General features: G+C 39.6%; 1 protein-coding gene across 47 annotated transcripts in view; it reads left to right on the top strand.

Annotated features, from left to right (window-relative positions):
- The window catches only part of NEB (nebulin), a 249,138-nt gene continuing 226,182 nt past the window's right edge, over window positions 1,209–24,164 (top strand). For all 47 annotated transcript variants that reach the window (XM_011511227.3, XM_011511226.3, XM_005246613.3 and 44 more), the window contains exons 1-10: window positions 1,209–1,287; window positions 1,890–1,973; window positions 2,500–2,564; window positions 6,029–6,070; window positions 7,779–7,994; window positions 10,125–10,232; window positions 10,724–10,828; window positions 11,321–11,425; window positions 12,199–12,303; window positions 18,165–18,269. In XM_011511227.3, coding sequence (XP_011509529.1) covers window positions 2,529–2,564; window positions 6,029–6,070; window positions 7,779–7,994; window positions 10,125–10,232; window positions 10,724–10,828; window positions 11,321–11,425; window positions 12,199–12,303; window positions 18,165–18,269 — 822 coding nt within the window. In that variant the 5' untranslated portion in view covers window positions 1,209–1,287; window positions 1,890–1,973; window positions 2,500–2,528. The remainder of the gene's footprint in view (window positions 1,288–1,889; window positions 1,974–2,499; window positions 2,565–6,028; window positions 6,071–7,778; window positions 7,995–10,124; window positions 10,233–10,723; window positions 10,829–11,320; window positions 11,426–12,198; window positions 12,304–18,164; window positions 18,270–24,164) is intronic.

The raw sequence follows: 24,164 nt of genomic DNA, 5'->3' as shown, positions 1-24,164 counted from the left end.
CTCAGACAATCTGCCCGCCTCGGCCTCCCAAAGTGTTGGGATTACAGGCGTGAGCCACCACGCCCAGCGAGATTACTTTCTAATGTTTAACTTAAAAAAGAAAAAATATTACAATATGTTTAATCTCAAATCCATATCAAGATATAGGTGACTCACAGGGTTTTGCCTGAATACAGGAGCAACCCAGAGAAAGAGCAGTTCTCTGTCACATAAGAGCCTGTGATTTCTGTCGCTGTGTGTAAGGACAGACAGACAGACAGATAGAATTAGATTTTAAATTAGAAAAAATACTTCAGGAGCAAAGAAAGTGCAAGAAAGACATCAGGCAAGTTTTAAGAAAATGGTTAGATAATTTTTATGAAGGAAATGTCTTACGTTCGGATTTGCCAAATAGGGCATTATTTTCTCCTGATAAGTTACTGATTTCCATGTTATCTGCTCTTGCTGTTCAGAAATTGAGCCTGTTTGTGTCCGCATTCACACGTTGCTTCTGGGAGCCAGGAGTCATCTGAGTTAATAGAAAAATCACTAACTCGGTTACATATGAGAGAGGTTCTGTATTCCTAGCAGCTTGCCTTATCTAAGGAGGGAGAAGGTGCTAAATAGGATTTTGGTATACCCTCTTGGTTTAGTAACAGAAAAATGATGGGGTCTAATCTTTCTAATTACACCCTGTGGATATCTTATTTAGTGCCATTGTCAAATATTTTCACCTTTAACTTCACTCATCACATTTTTAAAAATTGCTTTTGTCAACTTGATGTTTACTGGGTCTTATTCCTCAGTTTCTTTCACACTAGCACCAGTAACTTACCTGTAGCTCACCTGGTGAACCTTACCAGAGTGAGTACATTTACCACCATGACTGGACAAATGACATGAAGAAAGCAGTCACGGAAGGGTTAAAGCCTCTCAAAGTCATGCTTATTTTCTACTAAATTCTTTTGCATGAATATGACATTGAATGGGGCCTCAGTAAATGGGAAATTCAACCTAAAATTGAACTGCACAGGCTGGAAGTTAGGTAAAATTTGATTCCATTTGAATTGTTCTAAGCAAGCAATTTGTTACCCTTTATCCTTTAGTGGAATTGATGAACAGGTGGTTTTCAGAAGATCACTTGGTAAATTTAGCTTCTGAAATTTGAGCAACTCAAGATCTGATTGGTTGCTCTTGCCACATGATAATTCGGAGCCCAGGCATCACGCTGGCTTTTGCCTGGGGTTCTCAGGAGGGGAGAGTTGGGAGAGGCTTTGCTGCTGAGGAAATTTATTTGGTAGATTGAAGGTAAGGCCAGTTTATGACTTTTTCTGTAATACTCTTTCAGGAGATGCTCCACAACTTCCCTCGAAGTATTTTTCAAAGGTTTGGGCCATAACTGAGGAAATTAGTGGTAGAAATATGGCTAGGAGAGTTTAACCCCATTGCCCTACTAAGGCCCTACTAATATCTGCTATGTACCGTGTGTGATTAGAGTCAAGTCCTTTGCTAACCAATTTATTGCTTGACTGAATTGGCTCTCTTGTCTAACATTTTTTTGCCTTTGATATTTTTCTCTAAATATATTAGTGTGAAAAAGAAGATACGCTGCTCTACGTTCCTATATTTATCCTGTTCTACTGGGCTTCATTTGCCTGAGGAGTGGCAGTTTCGCTAGCTTAACAAAACCAGCCACTGCAGGGTATTGGTTTACATGGCAAACATCTTTGGATGAAGGGACAGCTGTTCCAACTCATCATCCACTTCATATCAAGAGTCTTACTCTCTGGCGTCAAACTGTAGAGGCCTTGAGAGATCCTTTCGCTGTTTTCTGCATTAGAAGCTTAGGCTAAGGACTGACAATCCTATATGTACCTCAATCAATGCTTTACAACTTTGTTATTTTTCAGGTTTGAACGAGAGCTACAGAAACGAAAGAAAAAGTCTGTATAAGCCAATGGTGTTCGGGAAGAAAATAACCCCATTGCCTTGAGGTTTCTTTTTTTCTTTTAAAATTTATTGACAGATGTATTTTTATGGGTTCCAATTTGAAGCCTAAGATATATTGCAAACAGTGGATCAGGGCAGTATGGAAAACTAAGTCAGCCCTCTTAGAATTTTGGTGCTGGGGGATAAATTTCAGCTTCTTCTGAAACCCAAGCTGACCTTTCACTAAAATTTTTGCTGGAAAATGTCTTTTCTCTAAGTGTTTGGAAGTTTAAATTCTCTGTTCCCTGAGTCCAAACTCTCTCACTTCCTTACCTCAATTTCGTTTTACAATTTTAACTAAACTGATTATGTAGAAGTAGCAATTCCCAACACTGAAGGAATAAAGAGAAAGAAATTTGAAGCTTCTGCTGTTTATACTTGTATTTTAAATGTCTTCTCTCCTTTAGCCTGCAACAATATATGAATTTGTACAATAGTTTAGCTTCAAATTCTATTTTTATAATGTCATAAGATAATTTCTGTGCTGGGAATAGACTCTAATATGTTTTCATTTGTATGGAATATGAAAAGTTTGTAGGTGCCACTACTACTCTGGAAAAATGGCAGATGACGAAGACTATGAGGAGGTGGTGGAGGTAAGATTTAAAAAAAAAACACTGACAGCAAACTATTTTATGTAGTGACAATCAAAGCTGTGTAGGTGAATTAATCATTCGAAAAATACATTGTCTATTATAACTTCACAAAGAGTCATCATTTAAAGCATAAGAAAGGAATATTTTATGTTCAGTTTCACTATAATTATGTGGGATTTAGAATTGACAGGAAATATCACTGTTTCCCACTTTTGCTTTTCTTTAAGCTCTCAAAAAACCAAGTTGGAGTAAAGGCAGGTTTTAATTCGTCTTCTAAAACTGCTTTCTTCCCCACTTCCCAACCCCGATGTTCAAAGGGACAGAGACGAAGAGAAAGTTCTGAAAATGGAACTCTGTCTCTTAGTATCTGTATAGCAATAGAAGAAAAGATCTACTCCTTATTCTTTGCTTCAACTAGCTAATCATCTATAGGGTAACATGGGTTAGATATTCAGAATAATCATATGTATGAAATTATATGCAGATGTGAGACTTTATACATAATACATACACATGTGCACAGACACACACATACAAGCAAATATAAATAAAGGCATGAAGGTCACAGCGATTGTTGGAGCCACACCTTCCTACCAACTTCATTATATTTACCCAAGTCAACAAGACTAGCTTTTGCTTTTGAATTTTGAATAAGAACAAAGACTATAGTGGGTATCTTGAAAATTTTCCTTCCAATTATTAGTGGACATCTAACACATTTTACAAAGCTGTTAATCATTTATTTTATATTTATTTTACATCCTTTTGTTTTTATCATCTTACGGTTTTTCCTCACCGGCTCTTGCCTTTAGCTTCACATTCTAGAAATAAAATCTAAAGGCTTGGAACTATAATGCACATAAATACAGTGCCATGAATCTGAATGTGCTTAATAATTACCAATTAATGATGATGATCTAAACACATGAAAATCTCCAAATGCCTAAGGCACTTGGAGGCAGTTTTGAAAATCTGTGCTTTTTAATAAGACTGAAATTAACTGTAAGAGCTACCCAGAACCAAATTTTAGGTGGCAGTGCCAAAATTTCTCTTTGGAAAATTATTTTAGTGACCAGTCTATATTTAGATGAAGAAAATTTTATTTATTCTACAAATAAAATAGCTTTTATTACTGAAGGATATGAGGGAAAAAATAGAATGAATCTCGTACAATGTAACACTCAGCCTCTCTGGCTTAAATGCTGATACCACATCTTTCATGCTGATATTATCACTAGTGTGCATTTTACTTATGTACCTAAGGGTCAGAAATATCACTGTCAAACACTAATACAATTATAAATTAAATTGTCTTCCCTATGATAATAATGCCAGTAACAGTTTTTACTCTCCAACTTAAATATCCCTTGTCTTTCTTAAAATAATTGTGTACCTTTGCCACTGGAAATTGTCCTTAGTGCTAGACTTGATTGATTCAACTAGATGTCATAAAAAAGGAGGTGGCTATTTTTAGACATCCCATCCCTACCATTTTGTTCCCATTACAGCATCTGTGTCTGACCAGCAGGTGATAAACGAATAGACTGCCTGCCAGAAAGTATTGAACTGAGATCTCTTTGACCTCAAAAAAGATCATGAGCATAAGAGGGTGGTGCATTCGAAAAAATGGCCAGGGAAGATTTTAGAAAACAGAGAGGAACTAGCTTTAAAAATATGCAGAAAACAGAGAAGAACTGGCTTTAAAAATATATCTCCTTGGGATCTTGGACATCTGAAATAAAGTTTTACTGTTCTCTCTACTCTAACTTAAACTTGAAAAGAAAGAGAGAGAAGCAAGGATGCACTATCTAATTAGTGGCACAGCTCTAAAAAAAGAGTGAGATTTGGCATACAAGTTAATGCCAACCATTTAAATAATGTTGCCTCTTTTATAAGCGTATTTCTAAGATGGATTTACCAATGGTGAGAGCCCAGCAAAGGTAAAATTGAATGGTTTCCAAGGAGCTGCTTTTAAACTTGGATGCTGAGAAAATCCAAAATAGTTGTGAATCTTCCATTTTATTTTAATATTTCTTCTGAAGCCACTGATGTTTTGTGTGACTGGAGGAATGACTCTATGTGGCGTCAGCATCAAACAATATTTTCTAGTGTCCAAATGATATTTCTCATGTGCTGAAAAGTCACAACTGTAAAAAAGCAAATCTCTGTCCTGTCAGTGCTTGTGATTTTTGTTGCTATGTGTAACGACATACAGGCAGAATTAGATTTTAAATTAAAACAATAGCTCAAGAGTAAAGAAAGCACAAGAATGAGGAACATTAGGCAAGTTCTAGACGATTGTTAACGCAGGTGAAATAGCACAGGCGGCCTACTGACAATGGTTAAGTAATTTGATGACACTTCACTGAAAAGAATGCAGGCCATTGAGGGAAATTTTGCATCTTAATGTTTTCCCTTCCCTTGAGTGCTGTATGTTTTGGTGTTAAAGATAAGAAAAAGGAAGCATAAAGTGTTTTACATCCTTTTTTTTTTTTTTTTTTTTTCACTAAGAAATGAGCCAAGTGTTTCATCTTTATCCCTTTCCTCATGTGCTTGGCCTAAACGAGCCTCTCCTTCTGTTCACCCTACAGAGCAGGGTGAGGCTAAGGACAGGATTCCTCTCTCCTTACACATCTGAAACCAAGTGTCAACCAGTTCCTTTCTGCATCTATTTATTGCTGGTGATGTCAGAAGTAGAACAAAAGTAGACTTGGTTTCAGATCCAGGCTGCAGATCCATCATGCAGGCCATGATGACCTCAGAGCCACTATGGCAAATTGCAGCCTACCTTTCCCACACTTTGTGATGAAGAATCTTCTCATTTTCCCCTTCATTACTTGGCATTTACCAGTTTTCATATTAGCACCACTCTGTTTAGGACAATCACACTATTGAAAGGGACTCACCCATCACTCCAGAAGAAACTTATTACTTACTAATCAGGAGGGTATAGGAATAATTGAGATGTGGATATACCTTGGGATCTTATTATTTCCATGATGCAATCCATTTAAAAATGTATTCACACTCGAGTTTCTGTTTTAGTTTATTGTTAGTTTGCAAACAGTGAGTTTTATCACAGTTCCTCTCTGCCCAACCCACACACTCAGGATCTTCTTATTGTATTCTCTTCTCAGCAAATTCTATCTTGGGGACCATAAGAAAAAAATTTCCATGTCCCAGTAAAGTAAAATAGCTTCTCTTGATTAAAAAACAGCCTCATACATTTTTCTCAGCCCTCTGCATCTCTTTGTCCATTTGGATGGCATTCACTTTAGCTTTCCTGAAGTATTACAAAGTGAAGATGGGTTCCAAAATATGAACAGGCTCCCTCACCTACCCCTTTCCCACAGACATTCCAAATCAACCGAGCTAGTGCAGTCACCTAAGTGGTTCAGCTGAGGCAGAGGAGAGGTGGTTTCTGCTTTGGTTCTCTTGCCAATGCCTTTGTGCTCTATTTACAGTACTACACAGAAGAAGTGGTTTACGAAGAGGTGCCGGGAGAGGTAAGGCCCAGCCCACAGCTGCATAAACTGCATTCTCATTAAAGCAGGAAGAGCTTTCTCCTTTCTTAGACTCCCAGGGCCACAAAGATGGCAAAAGGGATTATCTGACAGAGGATCACTCACCTACCTGTGCCCAGAAGCTGGTGTGAAAGCACAAACATTACCTGTTTGATGGATTATTTCACCTTTTTTTCCTATTCAAAAAACGCAAGATGGCAGGGGGTGGTTCCCCCTATTTCTTCTGTGTGATATTTTTGTGTAGATGAAGCTAATTAGAATAATGTCAGTGGCTATCACCATTCTCCAACAGCAGCAGGAGGGATGGTGACAACAAGCCAAGGAGCCTTGGCTTTGTGATTGGCATAGGGACAAGCAGTTTTACTGTGTGGAGTTATAACTTGTAGGACACCATCTCTGCCACCAGGGATGGTGTCTCCAGGGCTTCGTCCCTGATGATGCATTGAAATGCTACTCAGATTTTAGCACATTAGCAATTCTAAATAACCTATTACCATAAATATTCCACGTTCAAGCTCTTTTTTTTTTCAAGGTGAAATACCTCTCTCATGCTTTATTTTCTGCATGCAGCTGTTTCTCTTTGAGCATGACAAACAGTGATATGGATGGTTAATCCTGAAGCTTGTTCAGAGAGCCTGTGACTGCATAAAAACTAGTATCTGTAGATGCTGTAATTTGGTTAGTCTCTCACAGTCAACCATGCCTAGGTAATCATGGGCAGAAAACAACCTATTAGCAATGATGTGACAACACTAGAGGGGGTTTTTGTAAATGTACAATTTCCTTACTAGGTTCTCTTTTCATAATTGATGCTAGAATTCTTTGGTACAGATGATATTAGCTGTGAAGGGAAGGATACTGTGAAATGGATTGAAGAGTTGGCTGCTTATCTTTTTTTCTTACATGCATTATTTTTAACCTTGGATTAGACCCAAACTTTGGGTCTTAGTGTCTTCCACTACAGCCTGCTGTAAGAAATAGTAATTTCTCACCTACTACGTAGATAGGACTGTTGTGAGGATAATTACCCCATTATGTTGTCATCATTATTCTTGTCCACCTAAGCATTTATTAGTGTAAATGGCACTCCGGTTCACATTAATTAACTGACTAAGCCAAGGGAATGAAAATCTCTTATAATATTGATGCGATTCATTTTTTTAAAGTTCATTATTCTTTGTCTCCTACTACAGTGGAGAATGCCTAAATCCCTGCAGAACAAACGACCAATTTTCCCTTAGTCATTTACAAGTTAATATTAAAGTCAAGAATTTGAGCTTTGTTTGATTATCTTAACCTTTTGTTCCCCGAACTCAAGTTTGCTTTTACTTTACCCAGGCAACTTAAGATTTTCAACTGTTTTAAAAAAATAGTTTATTGCCAATTTCCCCCCCACTACTTTGAAGTGTTCGAGTGTCTTTCTGCAAATGCAAACTTAAGGCAATGTTGCAAAGTAATAAGGAGTAAACTTTTTATTCCACGCAATCCCAACAATCAGCATTCAGATTTGTGTACATAATGTGCCTTCATACGGCTACAGTGTGCCATTTCCTGCTTTGGCTTACTTTAGATATGGAGAAGTAACACCAGGAATGTATATCTGACTTGAAGTTAGACTAATATATACTAAGATCACAGTAGCACAGTTTTTACTTTCACAACAATGTTGAACTGCATATCAAATTTTCAGACAATAACAAAAATTTATGAGACTACGACAACAAGGACATCTGACTATGAGCAATCAGAAACTTCCAAACCAGCTCTGGCACAGCCAGCACTGGCACAGCCAGCATCAGCAAAGCCGGTGGAGAGGAGGAAGGTCATCCGGAAGAAAGTGGATCCTTCAAAGTTCATGACCCCCTACATTGCACACAGTCAGAAAATGCAGGATCTTTTTAGCCCAGTAAGTTTCAAACAACTTCTGCTAACCTGGCTTGATTATTAAGAAATTACTTATCTCAACTCACTCTGTTTTGGATGCTGGCTGGATTTGTTTCTCAAACCTGTATGAAACAAAAACTTATTTTGCAAATTATAGGCTCTTGTGACTGTTGAATTTTCCTTTTATGTAATTCATTTATACCATTGCAGCATAAGAAAGCATTCTTATTGAAATCATTCCTGCAAAATAAGCATAAGGCCAATCATAAAGCATTTATTGGTATTTAATCACTATTAGCCAATCTAGAATAATGAAATCATAAATACAGATTTAATTTAGGCCAGTTCACAGAAGCTACTTAACATATTTAAACAATGTCAGCAGAATAGCTTCTTAGTAGACTAGCTAACAGCATATAAAAAGGTATGTAAAGAGGTGTATAGTGAAGAAGAACATTTATTTTAAAAATCCAAGATCAGACTAAGAACTCATTTGAAATTGAGGATCTGAATGTTTGGCTATACCTTAAAACAGTGGTTATTAACCATGGCTGCACACTGGAACCCCCTGGGAATTTTAAAACTAATGATGCTCAGGCCATTCTAGTTTAATTTGTTCAGAGTTGGGACTGTGCAGAAAGGTTTTTTTTTTTTTTTTTAAGAAACAGAATCTTTCTCTGTAGCCCAGGCTGGATCAAGCAATAGCTTGATCACAGCTCACTTCAGCCCCAGACCCCTGGGCTGAAGCAATCCTCCTACCTCAGTCTCCCTAGTAGCTAGGACTACAGGAGCATGCCACCATGACTGGCTAATTAAAAAAAAAATTGTAGGATCTCCTAATTATTTTTTCATAGAGGTAGGGTCTTGCTATGTTGCCCAGGATGGTCGTAAACTCCTGGCCACAGGTGATCCTCCCACCTTGGCCCCACAAAACATTAGAATTATAGGCATAAGCCACCATGCCCAGCCCTGTACAAAAGGATTTTAAAAAGCTGCCCAGATGATTCTAATGTGTACCCAGGTTGAGAATCACTGCTCTCAATGGTCCCTGGTCCTTAGATTCCCATGCACAGTTCTGTAAGTTACACTGACTGATTCAGACAGATTCAGACACATTTCAATGGGTCTAATTTGTTTATTGTCCATGGTGGGCTGAGGTCTCACTGGGTGGCTTGATTGCATGTCCTCTGGAGGCTTAAAAAAATGAAATGTAGCTTAAGAGAACATTGGATTATATAAGACTAAAGTTTATGTCAAAAGCATCCTATTGAGGTTGAGCAATACATACTCACTTTTCATTAAATGATAGCAGCTCACTGTTTGGTAAAATTCTAGTTCAGAGCCTTAAATAATCTAAGACAGGTTTCTAGAAACAAGATTTTCTTAACTTCTTTAGTGCTGCAGTATTCAGCAAGGATAGAATTTTTTGTCAATATATTGCCATACATTCTTATTAATTCAGATCCCATGAACCTAGAATTTCTGATGTTCTGAACAGAATGCCAGCAAAGGTCTGTAATAGTTTTTAAGTGGTTAGTAACCAAATCAATAGTATAATTTAGATTGTTCACTACTCCACTTAAGAGTACTCCCAAAACATTTATAATGATAAATTATGCACATTATCATTAAAGCAAGAATTCATTGTGTATTCAGCAGAAATAATAAAATCACATTCCTAAATTTACAGAATATAATTCAGATCTGCCATTAATTCAGCTGGTGTCTCAGCTATCTGAACTACTGAAGTTTAGCTGCAACTTCTGAATTGAATATTTTTGCATTGTATTAGCACTCAAATCTTTTCAGAATTAACTCAATTTCTATATTTATTTTCTAAAATAATTGAGATTTAGGCTTTTTATGTATGCATTCAGACAAAAAAAAAGATTGAAAGAATCATTTTAGGGTATTTCCAAGACAATAGTCTATAATAAATTTGCATTGTCTCCAAGATCCAACCATGTTTAGGAGAAGCAATTATCAAATCTATTTTAGTTTTTGCTGAGAGTTGGGGTAGGGGACAAAAAGAAAGCTATTATAATTGATAATTGCTATAACTTGAAGGATTTTTTTTTATCAAATGGGGTGAGTATGTTGCCTGAAATTTTCACTGCTGTCTTGTTAGGCTAATATCTGATATTCTTTTCAGAATAAATACAAGGAGAAGTTTGAGAAAACAAAAGGACAGCCATACGCCAGCACAACAGATACTCCAGAACTTCGCAGAATCAAAAAAGTACAAGATCAACTCAGTGAGGTGGGCTGCATTGCTGAAATAAAGGAGAGGGACATTTCAAAATACACCTACTGCTGGGAATTGTGGGCTCTAAATATGTGCTGTGAGAATGAGCAGTTGAATTACTATGAGCTAGTTCACAAATCTAGAAAAGCATGAACCATAGATCATGTTGCTGTAAATGTGAACCCAAAGAAACTTCTAAAAGCTTGGCTTAGCAACTTAGCTTAAGAGGAGACTATGAGATGGAAGCTCCAACTCACTGTGGTTCTCCACACTGTAGCACAGTAAGGCCAAGAAGCAGCAGGCTGGAGATCCAGCCAGGAAAGCAGACAAGCAGTAAATGCAGGTGCTTCTTTGAAGATCACATTTTTCCAGCTAAAATGCAGAAACTATGCTTTGTGATGCAGACCTAGAGTCATTGGGGTAATGCTCTGTGGTTATAAGAAATTCCTTAATATACTCACATGTACATGCCTGTCATGAACTCTAACTGTGCATTATTTGGGCAGGTTAAGTATCGAATGGATGGTGATGTTGCTAAGACTATATGTCACGTAGATGAAAAAGCAAAGGATATTGAACATGCAAAGAAAGTGTCGCAGCAAGTCAGTAAGGTAAGGCAATGATATGGATGGCTGGGGTACTCAGTAGCATGTGCATCACCTCTGCATTGTCTTATAGGAGAAAATTGGACAGGCCTGATCCTGCCCACCAGCCTCATGGGCAGTGTGAGTTCAATACCTGTATTCATCAAGGAGGCTGCACAGATGACTGAGTGGCCTGTAGAACCTATGGGTGGATGGAAGAGTCCATGCCCTGCCCAAAGAGGCAGCTGTGACTCGGCTCCAGGCTGTTGCTGCATGAAGTCCCAGTGTCACCAAAGAAGCTGAGGAGCTAAATTTTTAATTGAAAGGAATTAGAATTTTCAATCAAAAGCTGACTATTGTAGGAAAAGTATTATAGGATGTTGGCATGGTCAATGTTTTCCTAGTAACCCATTGGCAACCTCTGAGCAAGCATGCCTTCATGAGTCTCCCTTTGTTGTTTAAATCCTCATGCCTTTGGGTGAGACCTCAAGCCACAGATCCTCTGCTCCTTCTGTCTAGGTTTTATACAAGCAGAACTGGGAAGACACCAAGGATAAGTACCTGCTTCCTCCTGATGCCCCTGAACTTGTCCAGGCCGTTAAGAACACCGCCATGTTCAGCAAGGTAAGGGTCTGCTCCATTGCCACTTCTGTCTTCCTATGTCATCCCATCATATATTTCATGTAATACTTGGTGAACTCTTGATCATCTGGAATACAATTCCCCAATCTTTTTATGAGTAGCCTTGAGACATGTGAGACTGCAGGGATAGGGCTTGGCAAAAAGGAACTGAGAGGAAAGCTCCTAGGCAGAGTGGGGAGAGGGTCCTTTGGGAACCTGAGCAACCTGGGGGCAGAGGGGAGTGTCTGTGGAGAATAAAGGTGCTCTGGAGAACCAGCTGAGAGAGCCACAAAGTAATATCTCAAAATTGTCTGTAGACCCTTTGGTATACTTTGGATGTCCCTGGCTATTACTCTAATTAGAGGTTTATTTTGTGCCCCTTCTTGCAAGTGTCCTATATTGCCCTGAACTATGTGAAGTGCTTCCTGGCTCCTTACATTGTGTTAGCACTTGTAAGTGCTATTAATAAACAATGACAAATAATGACCAAAAAAAAAAAAAAAAAAAAAAAACAAAGAAGGCAGGTAGAGTCACAGAGAAAAGTTGAAACAAAATCAGACACATCTGCCCCTCTGAAAATAAGAAAAAGCAGGGCATGCTATCAGTAAAAATGACTTGGGTTGGATGGAAAGTGGGAAGTTATCTGTGAATTTCATTTACCTTTGCTCTCACCTGGCCCTTGGTTCTTTAGGTTATTAATGGATGAATTCAAAACTATGTATTTTGTGTAAACGTGACCCTACTTCCTCCTAACTTTTCACTCTTTTTTGATTTAGAAACTGTACACTGAAGACTGGGAAGCAGACAAAAGTTTGTTTTACCCCTATAATGATAGCCCGGAACTGAGGAGAGTTGCCCAGGCCCAGAAAGCTCTCAGTGATGTAAGTGAAATGCAAGTGGCACCACTTAGGTGTGCAGAGTCAGGGGAACTTGAATTACATATTCTGGCCAGATGGTCACTGCAACTCTTCTGTATAAGAGACTAAATGTTGTATTTCAGAGGAGTATGTCTAGAATTGTTATAATTTATGATGTCTCATTTAAATTAGATATAATTTACACTTTATATTAAATATAATCTTGTCCAGTTCCCTCTTCTTATAGGTGGCAAACCTGAATCTGGGGTCACATTAGTTAGTGGCAGAGCCCAGGCTTGTGAGCCCAAGACTAGTATTCTTCCCATTAGAGCATGAGTCCTTCTTTCCCCTTGGCTCTGGTTGAAGTTGTTCTGTGACAACAGAATGACAATTTTTAAAAACCTATTGTAATCATAGCCACCTTCCCAAATCTATTAAGTAAACAATGTTATGGAAGGGTTGTGCCTTACTATTCTAATCATCAAGTCCAAATTGTGGTGTGTCTCCCTTTTTCTGTGTGTGGGACCTGACTAGTGTACTTGTTAAAACATATTTGTGGCTGGATGTGGTGACTCACCCCTGTAATCCCAGCAGTTTGGGAGGCCAAGAGGGGAGGATTGCTTGAAGCCAGGAGTCTGAGATCAGCCTGGGCAGTAAAGCAAGACCTCATCTCTACAAAATATATTTTTAAAAAATTAGCCAAGTGTGGGGGTGCATGCCTGTAGTCTCAGCTACTCAGGAGGCTGAGGTAGGAGGATCACTTGAACCCAGGAGGTCGAGGCTGCAGTGAGCTATGATCAAGCCACTGCACTCCAGCCTGGGCAACAGCGAGACCTCCATCTTAAAAACAAACAAACAAACAATGACCACACCAACAACAACTAAACAAACCAAAAACACATTTGTATAGTTATCCCACAAAGAGCTCTTGCTATCAGAAGATACTTCAGTTAGTGAAAAATCAGTGATCCCACTTGCCGGAATTTTGGTATCCTAGACCTTGAAAACTGTATGTTAGAGGAACTTAAAAGGCTTAACAGAGTCCTTAGGCTTGAAACCAGCAGCAACAGCAGCAGAGAGACCCACTTGGGCCTAACACTCTCCCTTATTTTGAGGTACTTTCTTACATGACCATTGGATTTGCGGGAGGCCATATTGAAAATCCAGACTGCTACTCCAGTCTTCAGCAGAGCACTGTATTATAAAGCGACAAGTTATTTGACATTCAATTGTCAGTTAGATCCCTGGAACCTCTTATACTCAATTTGGACTTAGTAAGCCAGTTCAGACTGATTGGGATTTACTTCTAATGGAATCTATGGTCTGATCTTGCCATGAACCAAAATTATACACACCAATTTGATGGTGTCTCCAACTTTTGAGGTCTAATTTTTAACGCCACCCTCTTCATATCACCTGCAAGTTTAGTGGACATCTTTTTCTATTTCACTTTCTATGTAATTGGTTAAAATATAACACAGATACAGTCGTATCCTTCCACAGGTAAGTTAGGAAATAGAGAAGGTGTAACAAAATTTTGAAGTCATCTAGCACATGATACCAATTTTATTGTGTGAGTACTTCTTGCTTCTCTTTCAAGATTAGCTTTTTGATTCTGTATCTCACAGATTCACAATATTGTTACATGGCTGTTACCAAGTGATCAATAGTTATTTATTGGAAGTCTATTATGCATGCACACCTGGCAGGATAGAAAAGTACTACAAGCAGTTTTCATCCTTTCCTCTTAGAATTTATAATCAGGCTGATAAAATAAAAGTATGATATAGCAAACAACAAGAAAAAAGTTAAAAATGAAACAAAACCCAACAGTCTAATACTTGCTACAAGACAGACAGAACACGTGTGAGTAATCAGAGAAGGCCATGTGGAGGTGGTGGTCCCAAGGGCATGGGTGGTGATGAAGAAAGGCATTTTGAGTAGAGGGAGCACTTGAACAAGGGGACACAGGTAAAATGAGGTCTGAGTTTTGAGGGACAAGGAAAATGAATGATGGGAGTGCCTCATTTGGAGGGCACTTGTGAGAATGCCGGCAGCAGGACCTTGAAAGGCAGACAAAATTGCTTCGACATGGAACGGTAATAAATAAGAGGCATCATAAGATTTTGGAGCGGAAAACAGCATGATAAAAATAGAATCTGGAGTAATTTTGATGAGCAATATGATAGATTGAGATTAGGAAATACAGGAAAAACTGGGTAATTTGGAGAAATCTATTTTAGTAATAATTAGGGCAAAGGAGAGGAAGAAAGGAATCTGAGGGTAATAAGTATTAATAGGCATGAATGGCATTGGATATTGGAGCCAAAGGAGAGAAAGAAGCCCTAGAGGAGCTTCTGACTGTAGACTGGTGGTCTGGGTGAGTAGGGGCACAGCTGGTAAAGGTGCGTTAATGGAAAGAGAAATGGAGTTGAGATGATTGAAGGAAACTTCAGATCAAGGCATCCTATGGATAAATTAGAAAGTTCCATTGCTCAGGTATGAGAACAGGGCAAGAAATTAATATTTGAGAGTCATCAGAACAAAGTGATAGCCAAAGACATGAACATCTATGAGGGAAGCAGAAGAGTGCATGGCCAAGGGCAGAGTTTTGGAGGACACCCACACTTAGGACTGAACAGGAGCCAGCAAAAGGATGAGGGAACAAACAGCGAAGTTGAAAAGGAACCAGGAAATGCCATGTCATGTAAGCCTGGGAGAGGTTTCCAAGAAGACAGTTAATCTCCTATCTCCCTTCATCTATCAAATGGAGAGATGAAGGATTACCTTCATACCATTCTAATGCTATGGACTTTGAACAATGAAAGTTGGCCACATGTTTTGAGCAATTACAGTAGAAGATGTAATGAAAGAGAACATACAATAATGAAGTAAAGTCTTCCCTGCTATTCCTCAAAAAGATGTGACAGTTAAGGCATAGCTTTTATTTTAATTGCAGACCAAGTGTGCACTCAGTATCAGATTATTGACATGCCTATTAATACTGTTGTCAGTACTATGAACTTCTACAATTATTGGGCACAGAGCCCTAAGCAAGCTGTTGTTTGCAGAATGCACCATGTGTAGGCACATAGATTTCTGGCTAAGGGCTTGGGCTTAGATGCTGTTGCTATCTCTCCTGTACTATCTTCCTGTGTCCTTCTTAATCTACTTATCATGTTTTCCTTATTAACTAAGTAGAGACAAACTACTTTGCACACACTAAGAGTCTTTAAGCTGATGCAGAATACTGAACTTTTTTTTTTTACTTTTTTAAAAATCAGATTATTCTCCATAACAACAGAATTCTAACTAAACAGAATTCTGAAGAAGGTTCCTGAGAAATTAGGACTTCTAGATCTGATTTGTCTGAAACTTCTTGGCAGGATGTCATACTTAATAAACATTTATCCTATTCAAATGTTGCTTTTACCCTAAGGACTTAACCAGCCATGAAAAATCCTGTTGTCCTATGCCTAAAATGAAGTCTTCAGTTTGTATTTTTTTTTTTTTTTTTTTGAGACAGGGTCTCACTCTCTCACCCAGGCTGGAGTGCAGTGATACAATCTTGGCTTATTGGCTTATTGCAACCTCCACCTCCCAGGCTCAAGTGATCCTCTCACTTCAGCCTCCCAAGTAGCTGGGACTACAGGTGCACACCACCACACCCGGCTAATTTTTGTATTTTTGGTAGAGACAGGGTTTCACCGTATTGCCCTGGCTGGTCTTGAACCTTTGAGCAATTCATCCGCCTTTGCCTCCCAAAGTGCTGGGATTACAGGCGTGAGTCACTGTGCCTTGCTTAACTTATTTAAAAGAAATTAAGCCAGGCTTGTTTGTGGAATTTGTGTAAATACATTTCAAAATCTGTCTTTTGTATCCCAATTGATTTGATGTCCATGAAAGCTTTTGTTATAGGCACTAGGTAGATATTATTGGGATAAGATACAGTTAGACTTGGTTAAAGTATAAAGATGATTGGGACCTTGGGATTATTCAACTGCTTTACTTGATAAATAAGAACACTGCCATGAGGAAGGGAAAATAATCGTAGAAACTTCACAGTTGTGTCACGGAAGATTAGAAAGATAATTCTCCTCTTGAGACATTCCCCCATGGCCTCAGTGTGTAAGACACACATTGAGATGTCAGTCATTGACTCTTGCTCTAGCTAGGTACTATGCAGGCCACAAGGGTTCCCAAGGATAGGACATCTTCTTTGCCATCCCAGAGCTCACAGTCAAGAGGAAAGAGACATGTAGACAAAAAATTACAGTGTCATCTGACAACCCCTCTAAAGGAGGTAATGGCCAAGTTGAGTGAGATCCCAGGAGAAGGTCATCACGTCTGGCTCAGGAGTCAGGGAAGGCTTGAGAGGGGAGTCATGGTGTCCTGAGCCATGGAGAGGAAACAGCGGTTTGCAGACAGATGGGGAGAGGGAACAGCATGTACGAGGCCGTGAAGCATCTGAGGGCTTCATGTATCTGGGGATCTATGAATAGTTCTGCATTGTTGGAAACAGGGGCCAAGTCTGGTGGAACAAAAGAACCAGAGGAATCAGAAATGAAGAGAGAAAGGAGGGCAAGAGAGAAGGATATGCATTATTTGTGGGCACCATACTTATTTTAAGGTGATAGAAGTCTTTTATAGGCTGAAGGGAAGGAGCTAATGAAGAAGGAGAGTTTGGGGTTGTGAGAAAGAGGAGGGATGACTGAGAGAGCTGGGTGCAAAAGGATATGCTGGAAAGGGCAGCACCCTGGGTGCAGGAGTCATTCCCTCTGAAGGATGTTTCTCCTCTGAGCCAGGGAAGGGGTGGGAGACGCAGGGATGAATATGGAGAAGATAAGTGTGTAGCGTTTCTTCACTCTATGAAAGAGGAAGCTGAGAGTAAGGTGGGGTTGATTGTGGGCTTAAGGACAGTGTTGGGGTTTTAGACTGGCCCCTGAGAGTAGGGACTAACCAGAGACTCATAATGGGCTGTGAAAGTTTCCTTGAAGACAAAATGGCATTAGTATACCATAGGGTCATAGAGTATTGGGCACAGAGCCCCAAGCAAGCTGTTGTTCACAGAACATACCACTGGGCAGGCATGTAGATTTCAAGCTAAGTGCTGGGGTTCAGAGTCTCCCTGCCCTGTACCTTCTTCCTGTGTCCTTCTTAACCCTACTCATCATGTTAGCATTGCCTAATCCATGGAGTTGCAGGTTTTCTTCTGTGGCATTCAGCATCCTAGGCATAAGAACAGAGGAAGTTGGCCAGGCGCGGTGGCTCACGCCTGTAATCCCAGCACTTTGGGAGGCCAAGGCAGGCAGACCATGAGGTCAGGAGATCAAGCCCAGCCTGGCTAGCATGGTGAAACCCCGTCTCTACTAAAAATACAACAAATTAGCCGGGCACGGTGGCGGGTGCCTGTAGTCCCAGCTGCTCGGGAGGCTGAGGCAGGAGAATGGCCTGAACCCAGGAGGCGGAGCTTGCAGTGAGCCGAGATCGCGCTACTGCATTCCAGCCTGGGCAACATAGTGAGACTCCGTCTCAAAAAAAAAAAAAAAAGAACAAAGGAGGTATATGGTCAAGTCGATCCAAGGCTGGGGGTTTATTGAATGTGATAAAAAGACAAGGGGTTGGGAGTTGAAGACGCTGGTTAAGAGAATAATTGCAGTTGCAAACCATGGCATGGAAATGAATGGAAGAAAGCAGATCTAGGGCCATGAGTCTTGAGGAGGAGGGAAGAAAATTCAGCAAAATAGAAATCACTAGCAGTACTGAGAGCAATGGTATGTAACATCTAGGACAAATTATAACATGTTACACTAAAATTTAAGACTTCAAATAAAGATGAAAGCATAATCGTTTTTAAAATACATCCCTGTCTTTTATTTCATCAGGTTGCCTACAAAAAAGGTCTCGCTGAACAGCAAGCTCAATTCACGCCTCTGGCTGATCCTCCAGATATAGAATTTGCCAAGAAAGTAACCAATCAAGTGAGCAAGGTAAGTAAATAGAGCTGGGACATTGCCTCCCTTGAAGACTCTGCTTAATAATTTCAACCATCAGAGAGGGTTACTAAAGGTGAGACTGAAGATAAAACACAAACACTAGGAGTATTTTTACATATGATCCCCAAAGACTCTACAGCAAAAGCAATACATCCATAAACGTCAAGAACTGTGTTAATAAATGTTTAGCCAGCTTGATGACTCAGTAATTGATAAATGTGAAAATCACCTTTTGAAAACAGAAGCCATGTTCTAATGTCACTTGACATTTTTACTTATGACAGTAATACTACAGAGTCACCAAATAACCACACACTTCCGTGAAGAGCTGGTTTAAATTCACTGTGAAGACCTTGGATAGTTCTATCTTATCCGTCACACTTGGAAAAATAAGAATGTGTCTCAGACATAGCTTAGTTAACAGCAGTGGGCAGTGGACCTCATAACTTTTAAGGCCCTAACAAACAGCTTAGTCTACCTATATTTAGGCAGTAAACTAGCTCTGAGGAATGTGGCTCTGATGAGGAATGCAGAGAGACAGATGCTTAGCTGATGAATAGGCCCATGCTAAATTCCTATTTTAAATTGGTCCAAATCAGACCACTTTCTCCTGGGATACTGCTGCTTTTAAATACTTTATCTTGCCCTCTGTGGAGATGAGTGTCAGTTTGTTCTGCTTGAATTTTGATGAAACCTCAAGATTTTTATCTTAAGCATTTTCTGGGTAAAGTATCTAGTAGAGAAGAATGATGAAATGATATGGATAATGATGTCTATTCAGTGATGTTTATTAGTGTTTTATATTGTAGATTACCTAACTGTGTAACTATGAGCTGTTTGGATAAAGGATCTAGTAAGTATAGTAAAATTTCACCAATAGGAATACTATCAATCTGAAATTTTGCCCAAGGCTAAGCAGAAATTAACTTTAGAACTGTACATAAATACATGATCCATTGAAAGTTTTGATATTGGCCAGGCGCGGTGGCTCACACCTGTAATCCCAGCACTTTGGGAGGCCAAGGTGGGTTGATCACCTGTCAGGAATTCGAGACCAGCCTGGCCAACATGGTGAAACCCCATCTCTACTAACAATACAAAAAATTAGCCAGGCGTGGTGGCGGGCGCCTGTAATCTCAGCTACTTGGGAGGCTGAGGCAGGAGAATCACTTGATCCCGGGAAGCGGAGGTTGCAGTGAGCCAAGATTGTGCCATTACACTCCAGTCTGGGCAACAAGTGTGAAACTGTCTCAAAAAGAGAAAAAAAGAAAAAAAAAAAGAAAGAAAGTGTTGATATTGTAAATAAGACGGGAGAAGGACAATTTATCTTTTTGGAAGAAAAATAAAAAGGTGTTTTCAAGTGGTCATTTAGAAAGAAAAAGGAATCTATTTTTAAATGTTTATTTAAAGTCTATTTTAAAAGATACTTTACTAAGGAAACATTCTTTTGCCTTATTTAAATATGCAGTGGGGATTCTTAAAAGTGATTTTTGAAAATCACTTTCAAACTCGTCTATAATCATTCTCTCCACCAATTTAGACTTGCCAGTTGGTTTAGTGCTACACTCTCCAGTACAGTAGACACTAGCCAAATGTGACTAGGAAGCACCTGAATTTGATCAGTATAAACTGAGTATATAAGTCAGCTTGGGCTTCTACAACAAAATACCATACATTGGGTGGCTTAAACAATAGACGTTTATTTTCTCACAGTTCTGGAGGCTGGGAGTCTAAGATCACGGATTCAGTTCCTGGTGAGAGACCCCTTCCTGGCTTGTAGATAGCTGCCTTCTCATTGTGTTCTCACACATTGGAGACAGAGAGCCAGCTCTGATCTCTTCCTCTTCTTCCTCTTCTTATAAGGATGATAATCTCATTATGGGGTTCCCACCCTCATGACCTCACCTAAACTTAATTGCTTCCCAAATCCCCTTACCTTCAAGTACCATCACATGCTTGTGAGTTAGGTCTTCAACATATGAATTTGGGGGGTGGGGATATAGACATTCATCCCATAACACTTAGTGTCCAATATGTGAGAAATAGACACTGGATCTGAATATTTAATTATGAAGAAAAGAATGTTTCAAATTAATATTTTTATGTTGATTACATGTTGGAATGTTAATTTTCAGATCTACTGGGTTCAGTAAACTGTATTATTAAAGTTATTTCCCACATGTTTCCTTCTACATTTAAAAATGTGGCTACAAGAATGACTTGCATTATATATGCATTGGATGGCACCACTCTAGGTGGGCAAGGTGACAGTGTTGGGTACTTTGAAAGCATTGCCAGAACTGGCTTTGCCCTGTGGAGTAATAATATGAGCTAAGGGGAGGTGGCTGTGGAAAAAGGTCACTGGATTTGGCCATGGTGACATTATTTATTCCCAGTCTTAACCCAGATTTCTGAGTTCTTAATGACTATTGTGCATCCAAAATAATAGTTGTATTAGGGAGAAATGCTTGTGATTGGTAGAAGTCCACCCAACAACAAACCATCCAACAAGGGAGGCACAGGGCTGCCAAGAGTGACTTACCTTTGGTACTATCTTCCCTCCTCACTCTCAAGATGCATTGGCCCATGTTGCAGCAGGATCATATCTTCTTTCTCCCTAAAATAGGATAAAAATCTCCTTTATCTACCCTAGAACTTAAAGTATAAAAAAATAAATTTTTTAAAAAACCTCCTTTATCTAGTCACTCACATGCATTTAAACTCAATATCCCCTTGTTGAATCATGTCTCCCAGATCCATCTGTTGGGGCCAAGGGGTCCTCCTTGGCCCACTGAAGGTTGGCTGAAAAATCAGCTTGCAAAAGGCAGATTAATTGGAGAAAAGGCATACAAATTTATTTAACATGCACACACGGGAGCCTTCAGAATGAAGCTCCAGCTCCCCAGGGGGTGCAGAAGCTTATATACCATCTTGAGGTTACAGAAAGACTATGAACTTGGATCCTGGCAAAACAGGTTATGGGGAGTGGGGAGAAGAGGAATTCTGTTGAGGAGCAAGAAATGATTACTAGGGAGAATTCAATGGGTTTGAAGAACATACAATAGTCTGGGGTGAAGTCTGTTGGGCCCACAAAGCGAACAATGGTTTATGACAGTAGTCTGTCCAGGTTTCTGACAGACTTTAGTCTTCCCTCCTGCAATATAGGTTCAGTTGAAAACTCAGGGAAGGGGTCAGAGGGAATTGTTTTCTTCTTTGGTAGGTCCGGACCTTAGACAGATAAGGAAACTTGAGCCTGTGCTTTGGGAGAGTTGGAGGATTGAGAGACAGGATGGGGGTGGGAGGTTAGCGGGGAAACAATTTTTCTTCTTAGTGGGTCTGTCTGGTCTTTATGTAGAAAGAAGTCTCTTTTAGCTTCCATTAATCTCTAAGGGCCTTTAATTCAAAATACTCATTATACTAGGGAGCCATATTTTGGGGTGGAGTTCTCTGTTCATCCTCACACCCTTTTCTTACAGCTCCCAGTTCAGATGGTAATGATTGCATATCTGCAGTGATTACACTAATGTTACCTTCCGTTTGCCAGCCTTCCTTACTACACCTGTCAGAATCAATTCTCTCACCTTTGTCTTTGGCCAAAGCCATTAGCTACATACTTCCTTCTGTCTCAGCTGTATTTTGTAGCTCTAACATAGATGAACAGTCAGAGTTGTTCATAGAAACAGGCCTTCCAGGTGGGGAAGCTATGCACACCATGACCAGCTGAAAGTGGGGCCCTGAATGCGACACTGGAAAGTCCCTTTAGTTTCTCTGTACCTGCCTCTCTGCTCCCTTCCAGATCCACAAAAGAAAAAATATGAGATTTCAGGTTGGAATTTCCCACTGATACCAACTGGAGCCTAAATTTTTTTTAAAAAACTAATCTTTCAGTGACATATTGTTACACAGCATGAGGATACCAGGCCCAGGCCCTCTAAAACCATGGAAATTCTTCCATCACATAGAATTGGAAAGATTTCCATTGATTTCACCAGAAGAGATTTGATTGAGTCAAGCAGGCAGTGTTAGGCCCACTGTGGACAATAAAAATACCAGCTGGGTTCTTTATACCTTTTCTGCAGGGATAACTTTTCTATGAATGGAACCATCAGGAGTCCCAGTGCTTAGCCCCTCACAGAAAAAGAGAAGGGTAATTAACTGGCTTTGTATTCCTTTCCATTTGGTAACCACATAAAAATTACAGATTCAGATGTTGAAAGTAGATAATGAAGCTATATGTTTAAGCAAGACAAAGGGTACCCAGTTTGTGGCCCCATGGAAGTCCCCTCAGCTGACCTCTGAGGAGGAGGGAAACAATCTTACTGTATCTATGGACACATGGTCACCCTCTTACCCAGAGAAGGTGTCCCAGAGCTTGGAATTGGCCTGACATACATTCCTCTGTTAAACAAACCAAAAAAATTCTAGAGAAGTGAAACTGACTCTTTCTTCCAAGTTTCCATCGTTCAACTGCAAGTACAACAGAGTTTGGAGAGAAAGGTTTCCCCCTAACCTTTCTCTCCAACTCTGTTGTGTTTGGATGTTGGGAAGGTTGAATGTTGGACCCTGACGTGAGTAACCCGTCTCCATGTATTGTACAAAAGCTCTGGCCTCACTCTCAGACTTGCAGAGTGGGACCCCTTCGCTGGTAGAGAGGGTCCCACATGGACACATACCTCTCTCTTCCTCTCACTCCTTCACCTATGGACCCTTGTCCTTTCAAATTCTCTCCTACTCACAAATGAGACAGAAGGCCATAACTTCCTCAGTAGCCAGCAAGCTCCAGCCTCCTCCTGTGTCATGAAAATCTTCCCAGACTTGGCAGTGCTCGGGAGTGGATTGTGAGAGCTCGATCTCCACCCTGACCCATTTCAGCTGCTGGATAGGAGGAAATAACATGTCGTGGTCTGTGAAGATTAAGAAGGAAGGAAGGACTTTGGATGAGGGGGTTGAGTGATCTTACACTCTTGTTTTGCATCTTGTTTTAATATCTTCTTGAAAACCAGACATCTATCTCTCACTGTGAGAATTAATCTCCTGCTCAATTATCCTTAACAAATCTACATATGCAATGCCTATTTCTTGATAAATGCCCAACATTTAGACCTCATTAAGAATATCTGCTACCTTCTCAACTTTAAATTATATTTCAAAGTTCTCTGGATCTCAGTTTTGGGGATCAGGCCCAATTGCCCCTTCCCAATCCTAAGGTTTTTCTCCTTTGACAACAAGCAAGAGGTAGGGCCATGTCTCTCCAAAAAATGATGCATTAGGAGATCCTAACCTGAGGTATGTGTACATCAAGAACCTCTGAAGTTATAACTGTTTGTGAGCATTTTATAGCTTTCTCAGTTTCTTGAAGAGGTCTGTCTCCAAAAAAAAGATGAGAAACATTTCTATAAGTAGTCTTAGCAAATCCAGAAATCAATTTTATTGACTTCTGTTCTTTAAATCTTCAAAACAGAGTGCAGGTAAATCAATCAGCAGTATAGCACAAATCTTATCTCAGCAAAGATTTCCATTGAAGAGTTGTTCCCTCCCCGCACATACAATTTTCTTTCTTACAGAGTTTCTTTCTGTTATGATGATGACAATAGTAATAACTATTATTATTATTACAATTTTTATACCCTATATTTGCTTAGCACTGTGGGGTTTACAAAGCACTCTTTAGCGAATGATCTTATTAAACTTCCTAGCAGCCTTCTCTGTAAATATTATTGCCAGCACTTGTGGCTGAGAAAACAATCATATTTGGTCAAGACAAAGTCAAGTCTTGGTCCCAGAGTTTGAACCCAGGCCCAGGACTCTAAAATTTATAGCTACGAAAACCAGTTGGCTATTTATTTACATATTAACCTTTTGAGAAGAAAGGAAATTAGGCATTTGAGT

Source organism: Homo sapiens, chromosome 2 (genome assembly GCF_000001405.40).
Source record: "Homo sapiens chromosome 2, GRCh38.p14 Primary Assembly".
Lineage (NCBI taxonomy): Eukaryota > Metazoa > Chordata > Mammalia > Primates > Hominidae > Homo > Homo sapiens.
The sequence above is the reverse complement of the archived record's forward strand: the minus strand, read 5'-3'. Positions and strand labels throughout refer to the sequence as shown.